Genomic DNA, 20,798 nt, shown 5'->3' on the forward strand with positions numbered 1-20,798 from the left:
GCTCTAGGCCCTCTAGAGGAACTTTCTGTGCTGGACTTACCCGCTATTCAAAAAGGAACTGAACTTTCCTGGGCACCCTGGCTTATAGTGAAATAATATGTCTGCTATTTTTTAAATGCCTATAGGGAGTTGATTTGCTTCAACCCTCAATTTTCACAGCTCTCATTCCCCAGTGGCTCATGGGTTGGCCCACTTCTGCAAAGCAAGGTAGAACCTTCCTGAGTGGCTGGTCAGGTAGACAGTGGCCACTAGTGTCAGCCACTGCTCATCCCCCCTATACCTGGAGGAAAGCCTAATACAGGTCGTCTTACTGATCACTCTGTGTGCCAGGCCGGCCTCCACCCAAGTTCGGGTATGTGACAAAGGCTTTCCTGATTGCTGCAACAAATGGAGAGCAGTCCTCATTCTTTTAAATTGTGGTAACAGCAGGGGAAGGATTCCAAGCCATTAGAGCATACTCAGGTTTTTGTATATGTCAGCCGAATGGATCACAGGGGAAATTATACACTGCTACTTTTTGTGGCCATAAAAACAGAATTCTTAGTAATATTTCTTTGCATTCCAAGGTTTATCGCTCTAATCCCACACATCAGGATATTCAGGCTGATAATATTGTCACTTAAAATATGAGTTACTTTCTTTTTTATTCTTAAAGTTTGGAATGTCTAGAAAATGCACAGTTTTGCCATACTTAGATGATTCGCCACAAAGAATCCAGACAATATTTATCTTCCTTCAACTGGCAACAACTCCAAATTTCATCAAAGGGCATGGAAAGAAAGCATGTACTGTCAAAAGAGAAAAAAATTCAAGATGTCAGGTGAGTGATTATTGGGGTGAGATCCATCTCCGATTTGTTTACATCTTCTGCTTTTCTGATTTTGGAAGGAGGCCCAGGACTGTGCACACCACAGGGCTGGCTGTGCTGTACGAGAGTTCTCATAATCGAGATGCCCTGAAGGTAAATACTTCAGTGTGACTCACAAATATTTATCCTCATATGAGCAGGTATTATTCCATTTGAGAAGAATTCCTACTTTTTTAACAGCAGAGAAATGTTGATCAGGATCTACAAAAAGAATAAAGCAGACAGTGTTTCTGTTTAAATTGTCGAGCACGTTCCTCTTTTGTCCACCGTGTCTTGCGGGCTGTTTCTGGGCACACAGTCATGTGCGTGCACACACACATCCCAGAGATGCTATCTTTGTATTGTTTGGTTTCCAAATTTCTTTCTCGTTTCAGCAAATATTGTTATTTTAATTATTTTAGACATGTCTGCAGCTCTCCAGCTGTGGGCTCTGAGCTGCTTTTTCTGACTGAGATCTTAGGATGTCCAGAGGGTAGTCAGGGATTTATTGTGCTGCCTCGAAGTCTGACAATAACCTTCCTGCCCTGGCCTTGTCTTCTAGGGGACATGGGAAATATAGACGTATATATATATTTTGGTTTCTGTGGATTTTTGTTGGAAGTACAGCAGGAAAATTTTCTTTCATAAACCTAATAAAGAAAAGGTGGTCTCAAATCAGATTCCAGTTATAGTAGCTGAAGATGGCCAAAGGGAAAGATGGAAAGAACCTCTCTTCAAAGCTATTGATGAGCTGATGATTGAGCTAACCCTGGAACCGTTCTATTTCCTGACTTTTTTTTTTTTTGAGACGGAGTCTTGCTCTGTCACCCAGGCTGGAGTGCAGTGGCGCATTCAAGTGATTCTCCTGTCTCAGCCTACTAAGTAGCTGGGATTACAGGCACCTGCCACCACTTCCAGCTACTTTTTACATTTTTTAGTAGAGACAGGATTTCGCCACATTGGCCAGGCTGGTCTCGAACTCCTGACCTCAAGTGATCCACCCACCTTGGCCTCCCAAAGTGCTGGCATTACAGGTGTGAGCCGCCATGGCTGGCCTATTTCCTGACTTTTTGTTTGTGTTTTGTGAGACCATGAATTTCCTGTCATTTAAGCCATTTTGGGATGGGGCTTCTAGTGGTTGCTGTGGAAAGCCACTGGGCACAGTGAGTAGAAGATGGTCTTTCTAAGGCATAGAGAGATCCTGAGACCAGAAGAAGAGCTTCCCCTCTCGATCCTCATAGAAAAACACTGTGACGGCAACGAGTGGTTTCCAATAATCATTTCTTCTTCAGAAAGTTTTGGCCGAGCACAGTGGCTCACACCTGTAATCCCAGCACTTTGGGAGGCCGAGGTGGTTGGATTGTCTGAGGTCAGGAGTTTGAGACCAGCCTGGCCAACATGGCAAAACCTCGTCTCTACTAAAAAATACAAAAATTAGCCAGGAGTGGTGGTGGGTGCCTGGAATCCCAGCTACTTGGAAGGCTGAGGTGGGAGAATCTCTTGAACCTGGGAGGCAGAGGTTGCAGTGAGCTGAGATTGTGCCACTGCACTCTAGCCTGGGCAACAGAGCCAGACTCCACCTCAAAAAAAAAAAAAAAAAGTTTCCAAAGCAAGGATTTGATCTGAATTTTTGACAAGAGATAGTTTTCCACATAAAAAATGGAGAAGAAACCTGTTGTTCATCCTTTTTTTTTTTTTTTTTTGAGACAGAGTCTCACTCTGTCTATCAGGGCTGGAGTGCTGGAGTGCAGTAGCATGATCTCAGCTCAACCACAACCTCCATCTCCTGGATTCAAGTGATTCTTCTGCCACAGCCTCCCAAGTAGCTAGGATTACAGGTGTGCACCACCACGCCCAGCTAATTTTTTTTTTTTTTTTGAGATAAAGTCTCGCTCTTATCCCCCAGGTTGGAGTGCGATGGCACGATCTCAGCTCACTGCAACCTCTGCCTCCTGGGTTCAAGCAATTCTCCTGCCTCAGCCCCCTGAGTAGCTGGGATTACAGGCACCTGCCACCATGCCCAGCTAACTTTTGTATTTTTAGTAGTGACAGGGTTTTACCATGTTGGCCAGGCTGGTCTAGAACTCTTGACCTCAGGTGATTCACCAGCTTCGGCCTCCCAAAGTACTGGGATTACAGGCGTGAGCCACTGCACCCAGCCTAATTTTTGTATTTTTAGCAGAGATGGTGTTTCACCATGTTGGCCAGGCTGGCCCTGAACTCCTGACCTCAAGTGATCTGCCCACCTCGGCCTCCCAAAGTGTTGGGATTTTAAGTGTGAGCCACCATACCTGCCCTGTTGCTCATCCTTCTGATCACAGTGGATGGGCAGGCAACAGCCCCAGCTCCCTCAGCTTCGTTATGAGGAAGATCCCAGGAGGGCATAATGTTTTTCCTTCACTTTTGTGTCTGTCACCCATGGACGGGCAGCCTGGGCCATCACACAGGGTCTCACACACTTAGTTTAATGCTCTGCTGTCTTGGTTTTGAAATTCTCAATGATTTATGAACAAGTGATCCCACATTTTCTCTTTTCACTGGTCCCACAAATGGCATAACAGGTCCTGCTGTCATCTACTGTTAAAGCTCAGCCCAGCCACCCTCTTGAGAAAGGGGAGAATGGCCATCAGCAATGCAGAGTTCATTTTATAAGCATCTCTCTTGTATGTGATCTCTCATTTCCTTTTGAAGATAAAAGGCGAGTGATGAGTGTCCCCTTGGTCTAGTTTTCCTGTCTTCTTTCTGTTGTCTTTCACCTAAAAACCTAGCTATGAAAAAGCAAGGACTCAGCTGGGCACAGTGGCTCATGCCTGTAATCCCAGCACTTAGGGAGGCCGAGGCGGGTGGATCACCTGAGGTCAGGAGTTCGAGACCAGCCTGGCCAACATGGTGAAACCCTATCTCTATTAAAAATACAAAAATTAGCTGGGTATGGTGGTGCGTGCCTGTAAATCCCAGCCACTCAGGAGGCTGAGGCAGAAGAATCACTTGAACCCAGGAGGCGGAGGTTGCAGTGAGCTGAGATCGTGCCACTGCACTCCAGCCTGGGTGACAGAGCAAGACTCCATCTCAAAAAAAAAAAAAAAAAAAAAAAAGCAAGGACTCAAGGATAATTTCACTGGATAGCCCCAGAGCACTGCTCACTTTATCTGAGGCAGGCAACAGAAAAAGTGACAAACAGCCAGCGGGGGCAGGGACACTTGTACTGAGTACTAAGAGTCTTCCCAGCATGATTAGGCTTTTAAAACTTACTGCTCTATTAGGAGGAGAGGCTGAGCATGAGTGGTGCATTAGAATTCACATTCCATCTGAATAATATTAAATCTCCCTCTTGGCATCCTGTTTATGCTAATCTTTTTCGGGACTTAATGATGTTTATCAGGACTTCCATTTCCTCTTCTTTAGAAATGTGCTCAGCTAATGAAGGAAGGTTGGTTTTCTTGAGAAAGAAAGATTCATAAGAAGAGTATGCAGCAGATTCTTATTCTGAGCATTGCAGGTTCAGCCTCTCACTGCGGTGACTTCATATTCATCAGGAATAGGTATAATCTATTCTGTGCACAGTTGATTTAGGGCAGAAATAAAAGCTCAGACAACAAAGCAAGGCTCCTCTTACACACTACTATGTCTGAATACAAATGGTTCATAATTGAAGGCTAAACTTCCTCATCTCACCCACAGCCAGCTGCAAGGGCAAACATGGACACTCTGTTGCATCATATAGAAACTGCTGGGCATGCAGGAGTGTGGAAGACAAAAGGCTGGCAATGTGTCAGGCTCTGTGGGGCAGGGTCAACTGCAATGAGTGCTTATATGCGAGGCGAGTGTTTAGCACGGGGAGAAGGGCCCATCGCACTGCAGGAAGCCTTCTCCCTGAGACTCGGGGCAATGCCTTGGGAGAGTATGGGGTGGTACTTCCTATTAAAATGTGGCATAGAAGGGGTTATTTGCGGATGTTCTCGTCTTCTGCAGCTTTGAGGCTGAGATCTCAAGGCCTTGGGCAGACTGGAATCTTTTCAATTCCACAGAAGTGCTGTTGGCGAAGAAAGAACATTCGTTTGGTGTTGCTCTCCTTGCTTTTCACTCTTTTCCCCTCGCTTTTCTGATTGATTCGCTTTTACTAGCTCTTGCTTGCTCTGAAATCTCCGGAAAAGCCAGGTTTTGATTCCTTATGTTTCTCTAGTTCTCCCCTTTTCCTTCCTATTACCACCTTCCTTTTTCACAGGAGCCAGAGAGGTGGTCTCTGCGTGCTTCCCACACCACATTGACAAGGAAAGGGAGGGACATTCCAAGGCTGGAAGCCCTGCCAGGACTGGGTGCATTATAAGGTGGTGACTGACTGTGGTGAAAGTCCCTTCGATGTCCTACGGATTCTCCCATGTGACTGACGCGAGATGCGTGGCTCTATTCATTTTAATTACATTTAGAATCAGTATTTATATCTTGAAATGAGTCTTCTTCCTCCAAGCCTTTGCCGGCACACTGTTTTTCATCTTGGCATTCTCCCAGATTTAAAAAATTGACCTGAGATGGACACAGGGGTGGAAGAGGTTTTGGTGCCCTGTGTCTTTCTCTCTACTGATAAGACTTTTGCTTCTAAAGAGAGACTGGCCCCACTAACAGCAATGATATTGGCACTGCACATTATTCAGAAGCTACGGGGGGCAGGAATGGTTTATAGCTATGGACATTAACTTTGAATAATGTGTATTCTTAGTAAAACCTCTAAGATTAAAAAAATTAAAATGTTTGCTTAAGTAACGAGATTCATTGGCTGACTCTATTGGGATGTGATTCACAAGTCAATTCATGCTGGGGCATCTGTCAAAGAAGAGAACCCTAGAAAAGTAGCCTGTCACCCTTATTTCTGGGGAATAAGAGGCAAGCTATTAAGGCCATTTCTCAAAACTAAACAGCCATCCTCACAACAATGACAGCAGCCATCCCACCCTCTGCGATGACATACAAATATGGAAAAATGTTATGTGCAGATTCTCTAAATTAAAAATGAGGAGGGACAAAGGGGAACACACATTCAGTTCAGTCAAAGACAACTTCAAATGAAGAAGTTACTGCTATTTTTCTGCACTGAAAATTGATTTCTGGTTCACCAAGAGACCAGCCTGATTCTAAGTGTGGTCTCAGTATTGGGGTCTCTACAAGCATCACTAGCCAGCTCATTCCTGCCCACTGAGCCCAAGGACCAGGGTAAATCAATAAAAAGTACAAATAATCTTAGGTTGGTACAGATTCTCTGCATGGCATCAAAAAGTATGATGAACAGGGACTATTACAGAATAGCTGCCTGGAAATATACCCACTATTCAGGGCTGCAATTTATCAATTAAGAACACAACTTTTATTTTGGACAGAATGTCTAAGAAGCTAATGGGTGTTAATTTGGAGGAGCAAAGCCTTTGTTTTGTAAAGTACAGGACGGACAGCACTCTGGATTTAATCACAGTCCACCATTATGGTGGGCCCCAAAAGTCTCGGAGGCAGCAAATCTCTGAATATTTTGTTTAGCTTCAGCATTGAATCAACTCTATAAAATGAGGGGATATTTGACTTAGCTGATACTTTTGTTCATATTTTACTTGCACATTTTTAAAAGATGTAAATAAATCTGTGTTTGGTTTAAGTTTTCCTGGTCATGATGCTGCTTCAAAGGAAAAAAAAAGAATTAATAAAAGGAGGCATGAAAAACCTAATTCTTTTTCAAAAATAATAGGGATAAAAGAACAGTGTGAAATCAATGGTGGCACTGAAATAATAGTTACAAAGGAAATGCAGTACAGTACATAGCTTAACTCTAGTTTTTAGGGATTGCAAATTAGACATCCCAGGAACAAACTGTTAACGTCAACTTTCCCCAGTCACTCCAGGTCATCATTTAAGTTGCCAATGAGGAAACATCCTCAAATAGGACATGTCTTGTTCAAATTAAATATTGCTACATAAAGGTCACAATGCCTTTTATTTTTGGTGAGGCATGTCTTGCCTGATATTGGGCAGATCTGACTCAGTCTGACATCCCCTCAATCCAATCCCATGGTTGGGGGTGGTGGGGCAGCAGCGGGGGGGTTACAGCCCTACCTGATCGAGGCAGTTGCTGCGTAGATATCTCAGTGCTTGCTGAATACTTTGAGGCAGGGGCTGTCCCGTTCTTTGGACGTGGACTATGAGAGGAACGCCAAAGACAGCCTTGTCTTTGTAGTCGGGAACTTTCATCCTCTTCATGAACTTTGGAACTGACCTAGAATTTACAGAAACCAGGTCATGCAAGCCTCCTGGGTCACACTGTGGGGTGAGGCTCTGGAAGCAAGCATGAGGGAAGCCAGGCTTTTGTTGGAATACCCAACAGATGCGGGGTGAATTCAACATTCTCTCTGCATTAATCACAGGACACTGCTGTGCTCTGTGTGGCCCTTGCCTGCTTGCTATCTCTAGCTACTAAACAGCATGAGTCACGTTCCCAGAATGTATTTGTAGCTCTGTTTTCAGGTCAAGTGGACAACTTTCCAATTTAACTGTGATAGACTTATTTCTCAAGTGCTGAACACTTAAAAGTCCCCAACAAAACAAAACAAATTAAAAATTACAAGAGGAAGAAGAAATCTGGCTGGGGTTGGAGGAAAAGGAAGGGAGAAAAGAAGAACAATATTTCTTGGCTCTATCTTACTTTTCTAGAGCCAGTTGTAGTTTTCAAAGGACATTTTAATACAGAAGCATATATTGATTTGACCATGAATTTATAACCTTCTAAAATATTTCATAAAAGCACCATTGATTTTTTAAATATGTATAATATAAAACATAGAACAATTACTGACACATTTTGTATTTTTTCAAACCCACCAAATCATCTACAATAGGTCCACATTCAAGTTCTAACATGCTTCTGTCAATTCCTTATTACAAGGTTTACTGCATATTCTTGTTTCTATTTGCCAATGAAATAAAAGCAGAAATGTATTTGAAGAATTAAATGCTCTTTGAATGAATCAATGCTCTAAGTGGTAAGCTTTGCATCAGGCCAGAAGGTACAAGTGACAGCTGTTTCTGTGCAAACTGCCAGGATTATTTTATGGCAAGTTTATTTTTATTTCCTCTGTTCACAATTAATCACCCTTTACTTGTCTCTTTTTCCTTTCTTGGAGCCTGACTGCCTTCCCTGGAAACCAACTGAGAACTACAAATAGAGCAATGTTTCCTGTAGGGTCCACTGCATCGAGGCTACGGCAGAGCTCATGCCTTATGTCCAGGAGATCATCAGTGAAGGCAATGAATGGGTTTTTCAGATATCACAAAGTAAACATGGAAGCTTCTGCAATCACACACTTAGCTCTAGAGCCAAGGATCCCCTCCTAGGTGAATGTGCTACGCACCATGTCCAGCCGTGCTTGTTGGACATGGAGTGCTTCTCCATGATGGCCGTGAGGCGGAGCAGTGAGAAGCGCTGGAGCAGGCTCAGCTGGCTGGCCGTCTGGCTGCTGATGTGGGGCGATGCTGGGGCCGGCCGGGGCTGGTGCGACAGCTGGAAACTGTTCCATCGGAGTCGCCTTTACCAGAGAGACCATCAGAGAAGCCAGTCACAAAGTGGACTTGGTAGCGGGAAACACGGGACATCACCAAGGTACACGCAGCTAATCAAGATAGCAGCCGAGCAAAGAAAATCGCAAAGCAAATGGAACAGAAGACACAAGTGTGCAGAATAAACATAGGACATGATTTTTCCAAGTCAGATAAATCTGGAAAAAGTCTTATTATCCATTTTATTAGGGGGTTTAAATAAGTGATAGAGGAAATATTATGTTTGTTTATTCCAAATTTGTTCCCAAAGTGTTGAGAGCAAGCTGAGACAGTGTGTGTGTGAGTGAGTGTGTGTGTGTGTGTATGTGAGAGAGAGAGAGAGAGAAACAGAGGGAGAGAGAGAAACGGAAAGAGAGGAAAGAGACGGAGACAGGGAGATATAGACAGAAGCAGAGAGAGCAGAGAGATAGAAAAGAGAGAGACAGATGTAGATGGAGAGATGGAGAGATGAGACAAAAAGAGATACAGAGGCAGAGGATGGAGAGACAGACAGAGACAGAAAGATAGAGACAGAGCAAGAGACAGAGAGAGGGAAGACAGAGATAGAGCAATATAGACAGAGGACAGACAGAGGTAGAGCGATAAAGACAAAGAGAGAAAGAGAGAGAGATACAGACAGGGAGCAAGAAACAGAGAGAGAGAGAGGGAGAGAGCTGTCGAATGTCTAGGGCTGTAGAAAATTTTCTCATTGTCTTCCATGTGTCTACACTCTATATCTTGCTCAGTATTGAGATGGAGCCCGAAGATGAGAGGTACAGAGGTGACACATCACTGAACCACAAGACACACCCTTGCCTCAACCAGAAACCCAGCAGCACAGGGCCATTTTTCTATGGTGCTTCTGAAACGGTCTTTGTAGGTCAGCTTTGATGTACTTTGTAATTGGCACTTTAAAGCAAAAACAAACTTGCAGAGTACACATCTTAGGCCTCAGAAATTTCTTATAGGAGCAAAAAAAGTGTAAAATTTGGGGAAGAGACATTTTGATGAACGCATCACAGGAAGGTCAGGGGAAGAGTCGGTGCCTAGGAACTGGGTATTGGTTATCCAGGATTCCCTGCCTATGGTGCCCAGTATAACGCTTTGCACATAAGAAGCTCAAAATATTTTTGGATAAAACTAGGAACAAAATAAAGGATAAGCACAAATAAATATGAGTTCACATGGATTCAATCACCATGATACCTGTACAGAAGTCATACTTCTGTTCAAATAATTCCTAATCACATACATCACTTAGAACAGAGTCAGGCATTTAGTAAGTACTCTGTGTATGTTTGTTAAAGAAATAAACAGAACACAATTACTATGAAATGGATGAAAAATCATTTCACAAGTGCATGCCACCTACCTGTTTGGCCTGGTCAGAGAGGCCCCTACACCAGAATCCCTCCTGTCTCTGACCCCAGGAGGCTCAGATTCATTAAGAGATGTTACATCTCTTTCCACATCACTGGGTGTCGTCCGACCTTCTGAGACAGAGTTACCTTCAAAATCTAAGGTGATCTGATTAGGAGATGGAAAGGTGGATAAGCCAGGTTCCCCAACCAATGTATCATGAGTTTGCAGTTCAGGCAAGACATCTTTGGACCAGTCATCGACTACCTCTTGGAGCCCATTGACATGCTGCAGAATGTCATCCAAGTGAGGGAAAAGGTCATCTTTCTCCAAGTCCAAAAGATCTCCTGTGCTGGCATACAGATGGGAGCCAGGGACATTGTCATAGATACTGACTCGGCTGGCTCTGTGGCAGGACGCCATGAGCCGGGGCTCCCTGGCACCAGGGACCTGCTCTCTGCCCAGGGAGATGCTACCGGTCCTCCAATTAACCCCATTGCTACTATCTGTGGGAGAGAGGCTTTCAATAGAAAGTGCCTTGGGGAATGTTCCTGGTTTGTGATCCTTGGGAATATGCACCACCAAATTCTCTTGGGAGTGAAATTCATGCATACGGCTTTGGTCCCCTGCATCCGGCAGTGCTGTCCCCGCCAGCACATCTAGGTCCTCCAAGTACATGCCCCCGCGCTTGTTGGCCTCGTGGCACTTGCGTTCCTTCAGGCAGGGCGTGCTCACCCCGCTGCTGCTGTGCTCCGACGGGCTGCTCTCGCCACTCGACTTGCCAGAGCATGGGAGCCCTTTTCTGCAGGCAGGTGGCGGCGAATTCTGGAGATCTCCATTTGGTATTTGGATGCACTGCATAGCCTTAAAGGACTCTGGCTCCTGCTGCAACATGGGCCCACTGATCACCAGGCCACCTGTCCGCCCAGACCCCTTATGCCTCCCGTGGGCTCCCTTCCCTCGGAGTGTTTCCATGCGTTTCAAAAATGATTTGGCCCTAGCCCTCGTGGGCTTCTCATTCTTGGGGTGGAAGGGGTGGTTGAGGACATCTCTGGGGGGCTGTGGGAGGCTGCTGCTGACGAGTGGGGCATCCAGCATGACCGGGTTGTCTGTACAGCACTGGCCCGGCTGGCTGCGACTGTCGCTGCCTCCACTGCTTTCGCTGTGAATGGAGCAGACCTCAGGCTCGCTCAGGTCTGTGAGGACGCTCTCACTGCTGGTCGTGTTCCTCATCCCCGTGCCTCCCGGTGACCCATTTCTGTCTCCTCGAGGGAGCAGCGTGTAGAGGTCGTCCACACGAGACCACCTGCGACTGGTTCTTTGGAAAGTCCATTTGTTGCTGATACAAAGATCTTCCTCATCGGAGTCGTCACCCTGCAGAGCACCAAGGAAAATGCTCATTAGCAGACAGCGTGGCTGAAGCAGGAACTCTGGGTGCTCTGAGGGCAGCCCTGTGTGGTCCTCCACCTCCCTCCCCTCTGTCCTCCCATGCACAGGTGTGAGCTTCTTGGGCACCTCTAAGCTGTCCTTCTACCACTTGCACTGTCTTGTACATACCCTTCCTCCCAGTGGCCAGAGGACCCTTCTCAACTTGCCAAACTTTCTTCCTTCCCATTTTCAAAGAGGTTTTGAATGCCTCCTTCCTTCCTCTCTAAGAAGTTTTCCCTGACTGATTATAAAGAGGGTATAATTACATCAGACTAGACGGTCTAAATATAAAGCACCTGCAGTCTTCTTTTTCACAAAGGAACTCAACTCTGCCATAAAAGGCACTTACTTCTTTCCAGAAACCTCTTCACTGAGCCCCGGGGACCATATTTCCAGCTTGCCCCATCTGAATCTCAGCTTCAGTATATCTCAAAGCTAACACTCCTTATTTTAGTCCCCTGCACTTGATTCTTATCGTGTATTCCCTGGATAAGGTAACAGCAAAATGAACCACTGAATTTCTTTAAGTAGAGATGAGGGAGCCATTCTGGAGATCGCTATTTGTGATCCAATCCGGCTACTCTGCATGAGCGTCTTTTTCTGTGGAATCAACTCCGAGTCAGAATGCCGTTGGCAGGACGCACACCTCTGTGTGGCTGCAGTGGGTCCCCGCGGCTTGGCACTGTCTTACACTTTGGGCCTCACACATTGACTCTAGGTGTCTGGTTTCTGCCTGAATTTGCAGCCCCTGAGAGGGGAGCATCTGCATTCCCTGAGGCCAGAGATGGCCTGGTTTAGCTTTGCATAGCCTTGGGCCCAGCGCAGACCTTGACCTAGAGCATATCATTTCCTTCTGAAATAAACTGAATCATCGGATCCTGCTTCATCCTCACCAAGCACATCACCAAGACCTAATTCTGAACTGATTTTCAAATCTGTTCCCTCATTCGTAATTTCACTCTCATTCTCTTAGTGTAGGCCTTGCCACCTCTCTCTGGATCTGTTACAGTAAAAATGTGGGAGAAACCCTGTCTCCAGCATCTTCCCCATCTAAATAGCTTTCCACAGTGTAGTCCAAATCGAATCATATGATTTTTTTTTTTCAGCTTAGAAGCCTTCTGCTTGAAAGCCTCCACTCTCAGTTGTTACAGGTGAAGTCATCAAGAGCCGGGCCTGCTACAGTGAGCCGTGATGGCACCACTGCACCCCAGCCGCAGCAACAAAGTGAGACACTATCTCAAAAAAATAAAAAAGAGCAAGACCTGTGTTTCTCTGTTTCATTATTCATATAAACATATTTATTCATATGTATAGCCTGTCCAATGCCAAGGACATAATAATTGCTTATTTTTTGTGAATTGAATTAAATTTATTTTACTCTACCTGGGTGTTCAGTTTTAAGACCTGGTTCCAAGTGTCAGTGATACCAGTTAAGAGCTAGGTGACTGTCCACAGTCTACTTACCCTCTCTAAAGTAAGTTTCTGCCACTTATAAGATTGAAGCGGGTCTTGCCTCATAGGTTTGCTGAAGAGAATAAAGAAGGTAGTGCATTCAGCAGTCCCTCACTGAGAGGTATTTGCTTATTTGTATCTTTCAATGTTTGTTCAATTGCCTACTAATCTTTTTATGTATCTAGCGTCCACTTTAACTCCCTTTAACCTTGCAGTGTGTTGTTTTTAAGGAAACCTAAGCAGATGCACAGTTAATCATTGTGGGGATCCTCCTATTCTTGTTTATTCCTTCAAAATCTAGTTTCCGTGTAGGTTTGACTAAATGACAAACTTGAACATTCAAGTTTAAAGTGAAAGCGAGTACAAAGCCAAGGTACAGAAAAGAATTCTATGGCTTAGAAGTCAGGTGCGGTGGCTGATACGGTTTGGTTGTGTTCCCACCAAAATCTAATCTTGAATATTGTAGCTCCCATAATTCCCATGTTTTGATGTGTTATGGGAGGGACCCGGTGGGAGATAATTGAATCGTGGGGGTGGTTCCCCCATACTGTTCTTGTGGTAGTGAATAAGTCTCATGAGAGCTGATGGTTTTATAAGGGGAAACCCCTTTTGCTTGGCTCTCTTTCTCTCTTGTCTGCCGCCATGTAAGATGTACCTTTTGCCTTCCACCATGATTGTGAGGCCTGCTTACATGAAACTGTGAGTCCATTAAACCTCTTTTTACTTATAAATAACCCAGTCTCAGGTATGTCTTTATCAGCAGCGTGAAAAATGGACTAATACAGTGGCTCACGCCTGTAATCTCAGCTACTTGGGAGTCTGAGGTGGAAGGGTCTTTTGAGTCTAGGAGTTTGAGTCTAGCCTGGGCAACATATCAAGACCCTGTCTCTTAAAAAAAGGAAACAAAAAGAAACAAAAAAGAATCCTACAGCTTGAGATCACAGTGAAAAATGAGTCTGAGTTTTAAAAAAGTTGTATAAAGCTCTGATGAAAGAGTTTAGAAAGTTGTAATTGTACAAGTGGAAAAAGGGCAAGACTCCAGAATGATGACTCAAAATATACTTTCCTACTAGTACTTTCTACTCCCTCTTTTCCTGTGATTGATATAATGAAAACTGACATATGAGGGTCATTTATACACAAGGTGCCATGATAGGCTGAACGTTGAACTTATTGGATTTTTGTATTGCATTTTAGGAAGCTAGTGAGAAGTTGATATTAAATAAGGACTATGAAAAAGCCCTTTTAGCAGACAGTTTTTGAGAAGACAAAAAAAAAGGATATGACTTTAAAGAAAATATAGATATTTTAAAACAGAAACTACAACATTTAGTGTTGGCCCCAACTACCTCTCTCAAACCTGGTTATGATGCCAGCACACCACATACTAGTTGGATAGGGACTCCTTTATTTAGGTTAAGAACACATGCCAAGCTGGGCACTGTGGCCTGGGAAGGGAAAGCCTGGCCCTGTCTGCTGGTCTCTAAGAGCTTATTATACTCACTTTGGCCAACAGGAAGATATTTACAGCCCAACTAAGGCATGTGAAAAAGTGGCAAACTCCTGGGAAAAAAGGAAAACAGCTCAGGGAAATTTTGCAGTATTTAGGTTGTTTGAACCAAAGCAAACAAACAAAAACCAAAGCAATAGAAAGCAAAATGCAACAGAGAAAAAAAACGACCAGTCTTCTTTGGCACCCTGTGCCTACAACGATCATGGTATGTTCCAAAGGGTATTGAAATGGTTGTGTCTGTTTCTTTCACTAATGATGGATATTTCAAACTATTTGATAGTGACACACAACAAAAAATGTATTTTCCATCACAACTCAGGGCATGCATACAGACTATACTAAAGCAAAAAAAAAAAAAATTTATGCTTAAGTAATTATCCTTGTTTGTTTGTATTCTGATACTTTTTAATCTAGTTTAGCCTATTTTATTTTTTTAAATGTTGTTTGTGATCCACCAAATTCACTTGACAACCTACCAAGGGGCCATGATCTGCAGTATGAAAAACACATTGCAGTAGAGTTTAAGGTTTTTTTACGCACTTGGGACCCAGCAGAGCATCAGGCACATTTCAGACTCTCCAGTGGTATTTATGGAAGTGTACTGATTGTTTAAAAGAGATTATCAGATTTCATCTGTTTGATAATTTTTGAGGTTAACAATGAATAGTTTGTGATTATTTAGAAATGTAAAATGGAAATCTCTAGGAGTCAGATGTGTTTATAAAGAAAAGGATACATCAAACTAACTTTATTCTCCTGTCTCAGAAACCATGGACGTACCAGGGACATGGAGCATCAGAATTTCAGCAACACAACTGAAAATAGGTTCCCACGTTGTGGACAATATGGCTCACTAGCTAGATGCTACACAACGGGGTCCAATCTTTTGGCTTCCTTGGGCCATATTGGAAGAAGAAGAATTGTCTTGGGCCACACATAAAACACACTAACACTAATGATAGTTGATGAGCTTTAAAAAATGGCCAAAAAAACTCATAATGTTTTAAGAAAGTTTATGAATTTGTGTTGGGGCACATCCAAAGCTGTCCTGGGCCACATATAGCCCGTGAGCCATGGGTTGGACAAGCTTGCTACAGAGAGTTTTGTCAGTAACTGGTTGAGTAACTCCTCTAAAGCGTGTGACTAAAAGACTGTAAATAACTGAAGGAAGCATGTCTCAAGGTTATGATCATTTTAAGAGTAACTTGAATGGGCCGGAACTCCTGTTTTTAAACTGTAAAGATGGTATTAGGCTATTTGCTAAGGGTTCTTTGAGACTCAGTTTTCAGAGTTAGAAAATGAAAACAATAATAACACATGTCTAGCATGATTTATCAACAGAACCAAATGGGACTATATGTGAAAATACCATATAAACCCTAAAGTGGTAGATGAAACTAGTTATTGTTGTTAGAGAATAGCAATATTGAGAAGTGTGTAGAGCTTAACAGAAGTGAAGGATGACCTGTTAATAAGATAAAATTTCATAAAAGTAAAATATAATGACTCTAACTTCAAAAATCAATTACAGGATCTTCAGGATAAAACGAACATAGTTCAACAGCCCTTCCTGCTATTAATAGTCTTGAGAGTTCTGGCAGATGTAAGCTTAATGTGACTTAACCATGTAATATGGCTACTGAACAAAGACACCAACCTTAGGATGCATGACCAGAGCATAGATCCCAAGACTCAAAAGGTCAGTGCCCATTGCATTCTGCACTGGTCACATATATCAGGAACAATGGGTTCTTTCTAAGCGCTCCACATTTTAAGGGGTACATTTCTAGAGAAGAGTAATCAGAATGGCCAAGGATCTAAGAACCACAACCTCCTGGGGTGGACAATTGAAAGAACTAATAGCTTGATTTAGAAATGAGGAACTCTAGACAGTGCTACTCAGAGTGTGGTCAGGGGGCTGCCAGTCCCCAAACTTGCTCTTTAATGAGGTAGATACAGAAATTGAGAGTAAGAAGTAAAACCATTTGTCACCATTTGAAAAGTCTGTGCTATCTGAGCTCACAATCAGTGGATTTGTCTTACTGAACAGGGTAAAGACCAGTCTGGGTGTAGTCAAATTCAAACGGTGAGTCCTATGAGTGACAGCTGCATGGTACTGGTGTGTGGTCAATCTGATTTACAACAAGTGCCAATTCAAGGTTAGTTTGCTTACCATAAACCAAAGTGTATAATGTACAGAATCCACTGTTTCACAGGTAATTTACATTTATAACTTTATAATTATAAGAATTGGCTAGAGATGAAGAACTGAAGATGAATTTTGGAAATATAGCATCACTTACCTCATTTTGAATAAAAGGTGAATGGAATACCCTAAAGTAGTAAGTGAAAAGGAATACCCTAAACTTTTAACTTGCCTTAAAAAACCTTTCTTCACTGGTTTCCCTACGATGACTGGTACTCAAACAAAAGAATTTTAGATATACATTATTACCCATGAGTAACATTGTTATCAATCCCACTTAACTTAGATAACAAAGAAGAAACTTGTTGTCACATTAAAAATCTTATGGCCAGGCATAGTGGCTCATGCCTGTAATCCCAGCACTTTGGAAGGCCGAGGCGAACAGATCACCTGAGATCAGAAGTTTGAGACCAGCCTGACCAACATGGTGAAACCCATCACTACTAAAAATACAGAAATTAGCCTGGTATGGTGGTGCATGCCTGTAGTCACAGCTACTCGGGAGGCTGAGGCAGGAGATCGCTTGAACCCCAGAGGCAGAGGTTGCAGTGAGCTGAGTTTGCGCCACTGCACTGTAGCCTGGGTGATGAAGTGAGACTCTACCTCAAAAAAAAAAAATTATATATATCTTATACATTTGCAGTCAAAGTGCTTGTTCAAAGTGTGCATATAGGCATTTAATTTGAGGGATTTCTCTTTTAAAGTAAACTTTTTGTTCAGTTATGACAGATGAACAACAAAAATGGTATGAGCACAATTGTGATTCTTTGTATTAATCACATATACGCACACTTTCAATAAAAATCTGAACAGTTTTTGTAATTCTTTTCTATTGATAGAAGCAGGAGGCAGTCAAATGCCTAGGCAAATAGGGGCAGCTTCCTGGTGAAACCCCACCCTCAAGCCAAAGACAGTTTGAAGGCTGAAAGTCAAGCTACAAACCCACAGACTGGATTGAGAACCTCTCTTCCCATTTGGCATGTTTTCCTCTGATTGATCCTCACCCTTCCTCTATTTTACATATACCTACCTTTCCCTAATTGGTTTTTTACACTGTCTTGCCCACCTTTGATTGGTGTCTTTCTTTTAGCTTTTTTGCACACTCATAAACCAATCAGCAGGCACTCCCCCATTCTGAGCCTATAAAAGCCCAGACCCAGCCACACTAGGGGAGAAAACCACCCAACTTCGGGACCACCCTTGCATCCCCTCTCCACTGAGAGCTGCTGTGTCGCTCAATAAAAATTCTTCTCCACCCTCCTCACCCTTTAATTGTCAGTGTAACCTCATTCTTCTTTGATGTGGGACAAGAACCTGGGACCTACTGAACAGTGGGGTCGAAAGGGGTTGTAAGCTGCAGCCCTCCTTTTGCTGGCGCCAAGAAGCAGCAGCAGGGCTGGGTCAGCCAGGGAGCCACAGGCCACAGAGCAGGGTGACAGGAACAAAGAAGCAGGGGCCCCTGCCAGGCACAGAAGTTTCTGGCTGATGAAGTGGGGTTGAGAAAAATCCTGCATCATTATTTCCTGTTATATTTGTTTTGATTATATTTATCAGTACTCACCTTTGTGTCAGTTGAGCCTAACAATAAAACATTAAGCCTTGTATTTTCTATAATTTGTTAAAATTAATATTTCTAATAATTCATTTGTATTGAATTTTACAAAAGTATCTTAGTCTGTGGCAGACTGGAAAAAAATAAAATAAGAAAATCAGTCACTCACCACTGACAGTTGAGAAACTGTTCTAGATTGAGCAAAGGTCTGCAAGTGTTTTCTGTATAGGGCCATATCATAAAAATTTTAGGTGTATGCACCATAAGGTCTCTCTCTCTCACCTACTCAGCTCTGCCATTGTTGTGAAATGAATGGGCGTAGCTATTGATCCAATAAAACTTTATTTATGAAAGCAGGAGCAGCAGTGTGCTGATTCCCTGTTCTGGAGGACAGAGCTAAAGGGCTTCTGAGTGAATGGGGAAATCCATATTCTGTGCTTCACCAGGGAAAAAAGCTAGGTTCAGGTGGGCCAGATTAGAAGGAATCAGCTCCTAGCTTATCATATGGAAGGCCTTTCTAGTCTGTAGAATAAAATAAATTGCCTTGCCATGTGAAGAGCTCGTCATGTTGAGAAGCTTATAATAAACAGTGGCTCAGCAAATTGTGAGGGAGAGGGATGCACTAAGAAGCAAATCCTGCAGTGAGTGAGTGGGAGGTTGGAAAATAAGACCAAAGATCCTTCCAACTCAAATACCCTACAGTTTTAGGACATTCGCATGTAATTATTTGCAATTCAAGGCTGTTAATACTCTCCAGCCAAGTGAATGATGGACTTTCTCTCATCTGACTGCTCTTTGGAGTTGCCAGGAGGTGTCTCATTTGGTGGGAGATGCGGGGGTGTGCAAGGGAGTGGGAAGTAGGGGTGGGTGGGGGGCCAGGCCCCTTGTCAACAGCTGCAGTGCCTCTGAAATGCCGACGGCATCCAGGCCAGGAGGTGCTGGCTGCAAGGTGGCAATTAGTCATGGTTTCTGTGTTGCTTTCCACCTTTGGTCATTATTTCAGAGAGCCTTATTAAAATTATAAGTTCAACCAGAACCTTCTTTGGAAGCTGCTCTTTCTCTCTTGAGACATATTCCTAGGTAAGAGGAAAGGTAAGAGTCCCATGTGGATATGTGTCCTTCTCTTTCCTCATTTAATAAACAGCCTAATTGGAGTCTTCAGTCTCTGGCTTTTACTTTGAATAGAAGCTGAATCACATAAACACTTTAATCAGGGGATTTCAATGTCATCATGGAGCAAGCGCGAATTTTGTAGGTAATAATGAGGAAGAAACATTTTCCCGAGAAAAGCTACTTTGTGTGTGCCTTGGTGTTTTTAATTTAGATGAGTCTCCACTGTTTGGCTTTTTTTTTTTTTTTTTTTCTAAAAATGAGAACATTCTTCACTGAAATTATATATTCCTCAGAGACAGATGCCAACCAGACATTCCATAAAGAAGGGCTTTTTTCAAAAGACGGAATTTGGCCATATCTTTACACTGGAAACAGGAACCCACACGAATCCACAGCTGCAAAAGGCAACGCATCCATAGTCACATAGAAATTTAGACGTTAACTGGAGCTACGTGGCCGGGCCTGCCTGTTTGGAAGCAGGAATGGGCCGCTGGGAATGCCGCGGGAGTGGAGAGCCCGAGCTGCAGGCGGCAGAAGTGCTGGTGTCCTGTCTCCTGAAATGCTCTTGGCTGGGTTGTTAGTCTTCCAGTGAGGCGTGCAGCTAAGCTCGAGAATACTCCTCCACCTGACTCTTACAGAGGCAGGGAAGGTCATCTCGAATCCTTAAAGGGTCCCTTTTCTCTTCTGCAAAACAGTTAGAAACTGTATTGTGGGAGGGTAGCGGTGTTGTCATTTCTCCCAGTGCTTTGGAAGTGGCATTTCATGTATAAGAAAGGTGTATGGCTAACCAGGCATGAAAAAGCCTTCATCACCATCATCACCTATTTGTGGACTTTTCACATTCTTCCTTGTGTCAGCCCACCAAAATCTACAGGATTAAACACAATTGCCATGAAGACAATAAATAAATTGTGGACTTTAGTACAGATGGCAAGAACCATGCCTCTTATAAAAACAATATACACAGTGAATTGAGTGTATTGCTGAGGAAACATGAGACCCTTGCAGGTGTCAGGCCAAGGGCTAGAGGCTCACCCAGACTCCAGTTTGTCTCTGAATATCTCTGAAAGGTGAGGAGGATCAGTCCAGTGCCAGATTACCCAGATTCAAGTACTGCCTCTGCTATTTCTGTGTGGCTTTGGGCAAGTGCCAAGCCCTTCAATTTATGCAACTGTGACATGGAGTTAAGGACAAGGAATAGTGCCTGGTGGGGAGGAAGCCCTGTGTCAGCTTTTGCTATCCCTACAAACTGCTGAGCCAGCACCTGCAACCCTTTCATAGGTCCGGCAGTCCCAAGGCACAATGATTGTGACCCCAGACAGTTTAGCTACTTGGGGATGACTTTCTGCAGAATTAAATAAGTCTGGGATTCTGCAGATTGGAGGTGGGGATTCTATTTCTATTTCTTGGATGGCTTAACATGGGGACTTACCTAGAGGAAATCCCGCTGCCTTATTTTTCTTCCAAATAAATAAATACTGAAGTTGGCTGGAGCTTTTCACGGGGTGCTCGATTCTCAAGTCTCCTTTTCTATTTGTGATCATTTGGCCTAGTCTTAGCTCCTATTCATTTTTTTTTCTATTTTTTCACAGTAAAATAAGGGATTAAATAAAGTCTATGGCTTGTGTAAGAGGAAGATCACAGAAACGGGTGTCACAACAGTGTCTCCTAAGTGGTTGCTTCAATCTGGCCATGGATTCTGGTCATTATTGAGATTCATAAGTAGGTGGAGACCACATGTCAGCATTATTTATTT

The 20,798-nt window shown here is 43.4% G+C and overlaps 1 protein-coding gene across 11 annotated transcripts in view; it reads right to left on the reverse strand.

Annotated features, from left to right (window-relative positions):
* The window catches only part of STARD13 (StAR related lipid transfer domain containing 13), a 573,658-nt gene that overhangs the window by 16,001 nt on the left and 536,859 nt on the right, over window positions 1-20,798 (reverse strand). For all 11 annotated transcript variants that reach the window (XM_017020835.3, NM_001243476.3, XM_047430759.1 and 8 more), the window contains 3 exons: window positions 9,792-11,152; window positions 8,236-8,409; window positions 6,944-7,103 (listed from right to left, as the gene is read on the reverse strand). In XM_017020835.3, the coding sequence (XP_016876324.1) occupies window positions 6,944-7,103; window positions 8,236-8,409; window positions 9,792-11,152 (1,695 nt within the window). The remainder of the gene's footprint in view (window positions 1-6,943; window positions 7,104-8,235; window positions 8,410-9,791; window positions 11,153-20,798) is intronic.

Source organism: Homo sapiens, chromosome 13 (assembly GCF_000001405.40).
Source record: "Homo sapiens chromosome 13, GRCh38.p14 Primary Assembly".
Classification (NCBI taxonomy): Eukaryota; Metazoa; Chordata; class Mammalia; order Primates; family Hominidae; genus Homo; species Homo sapiens.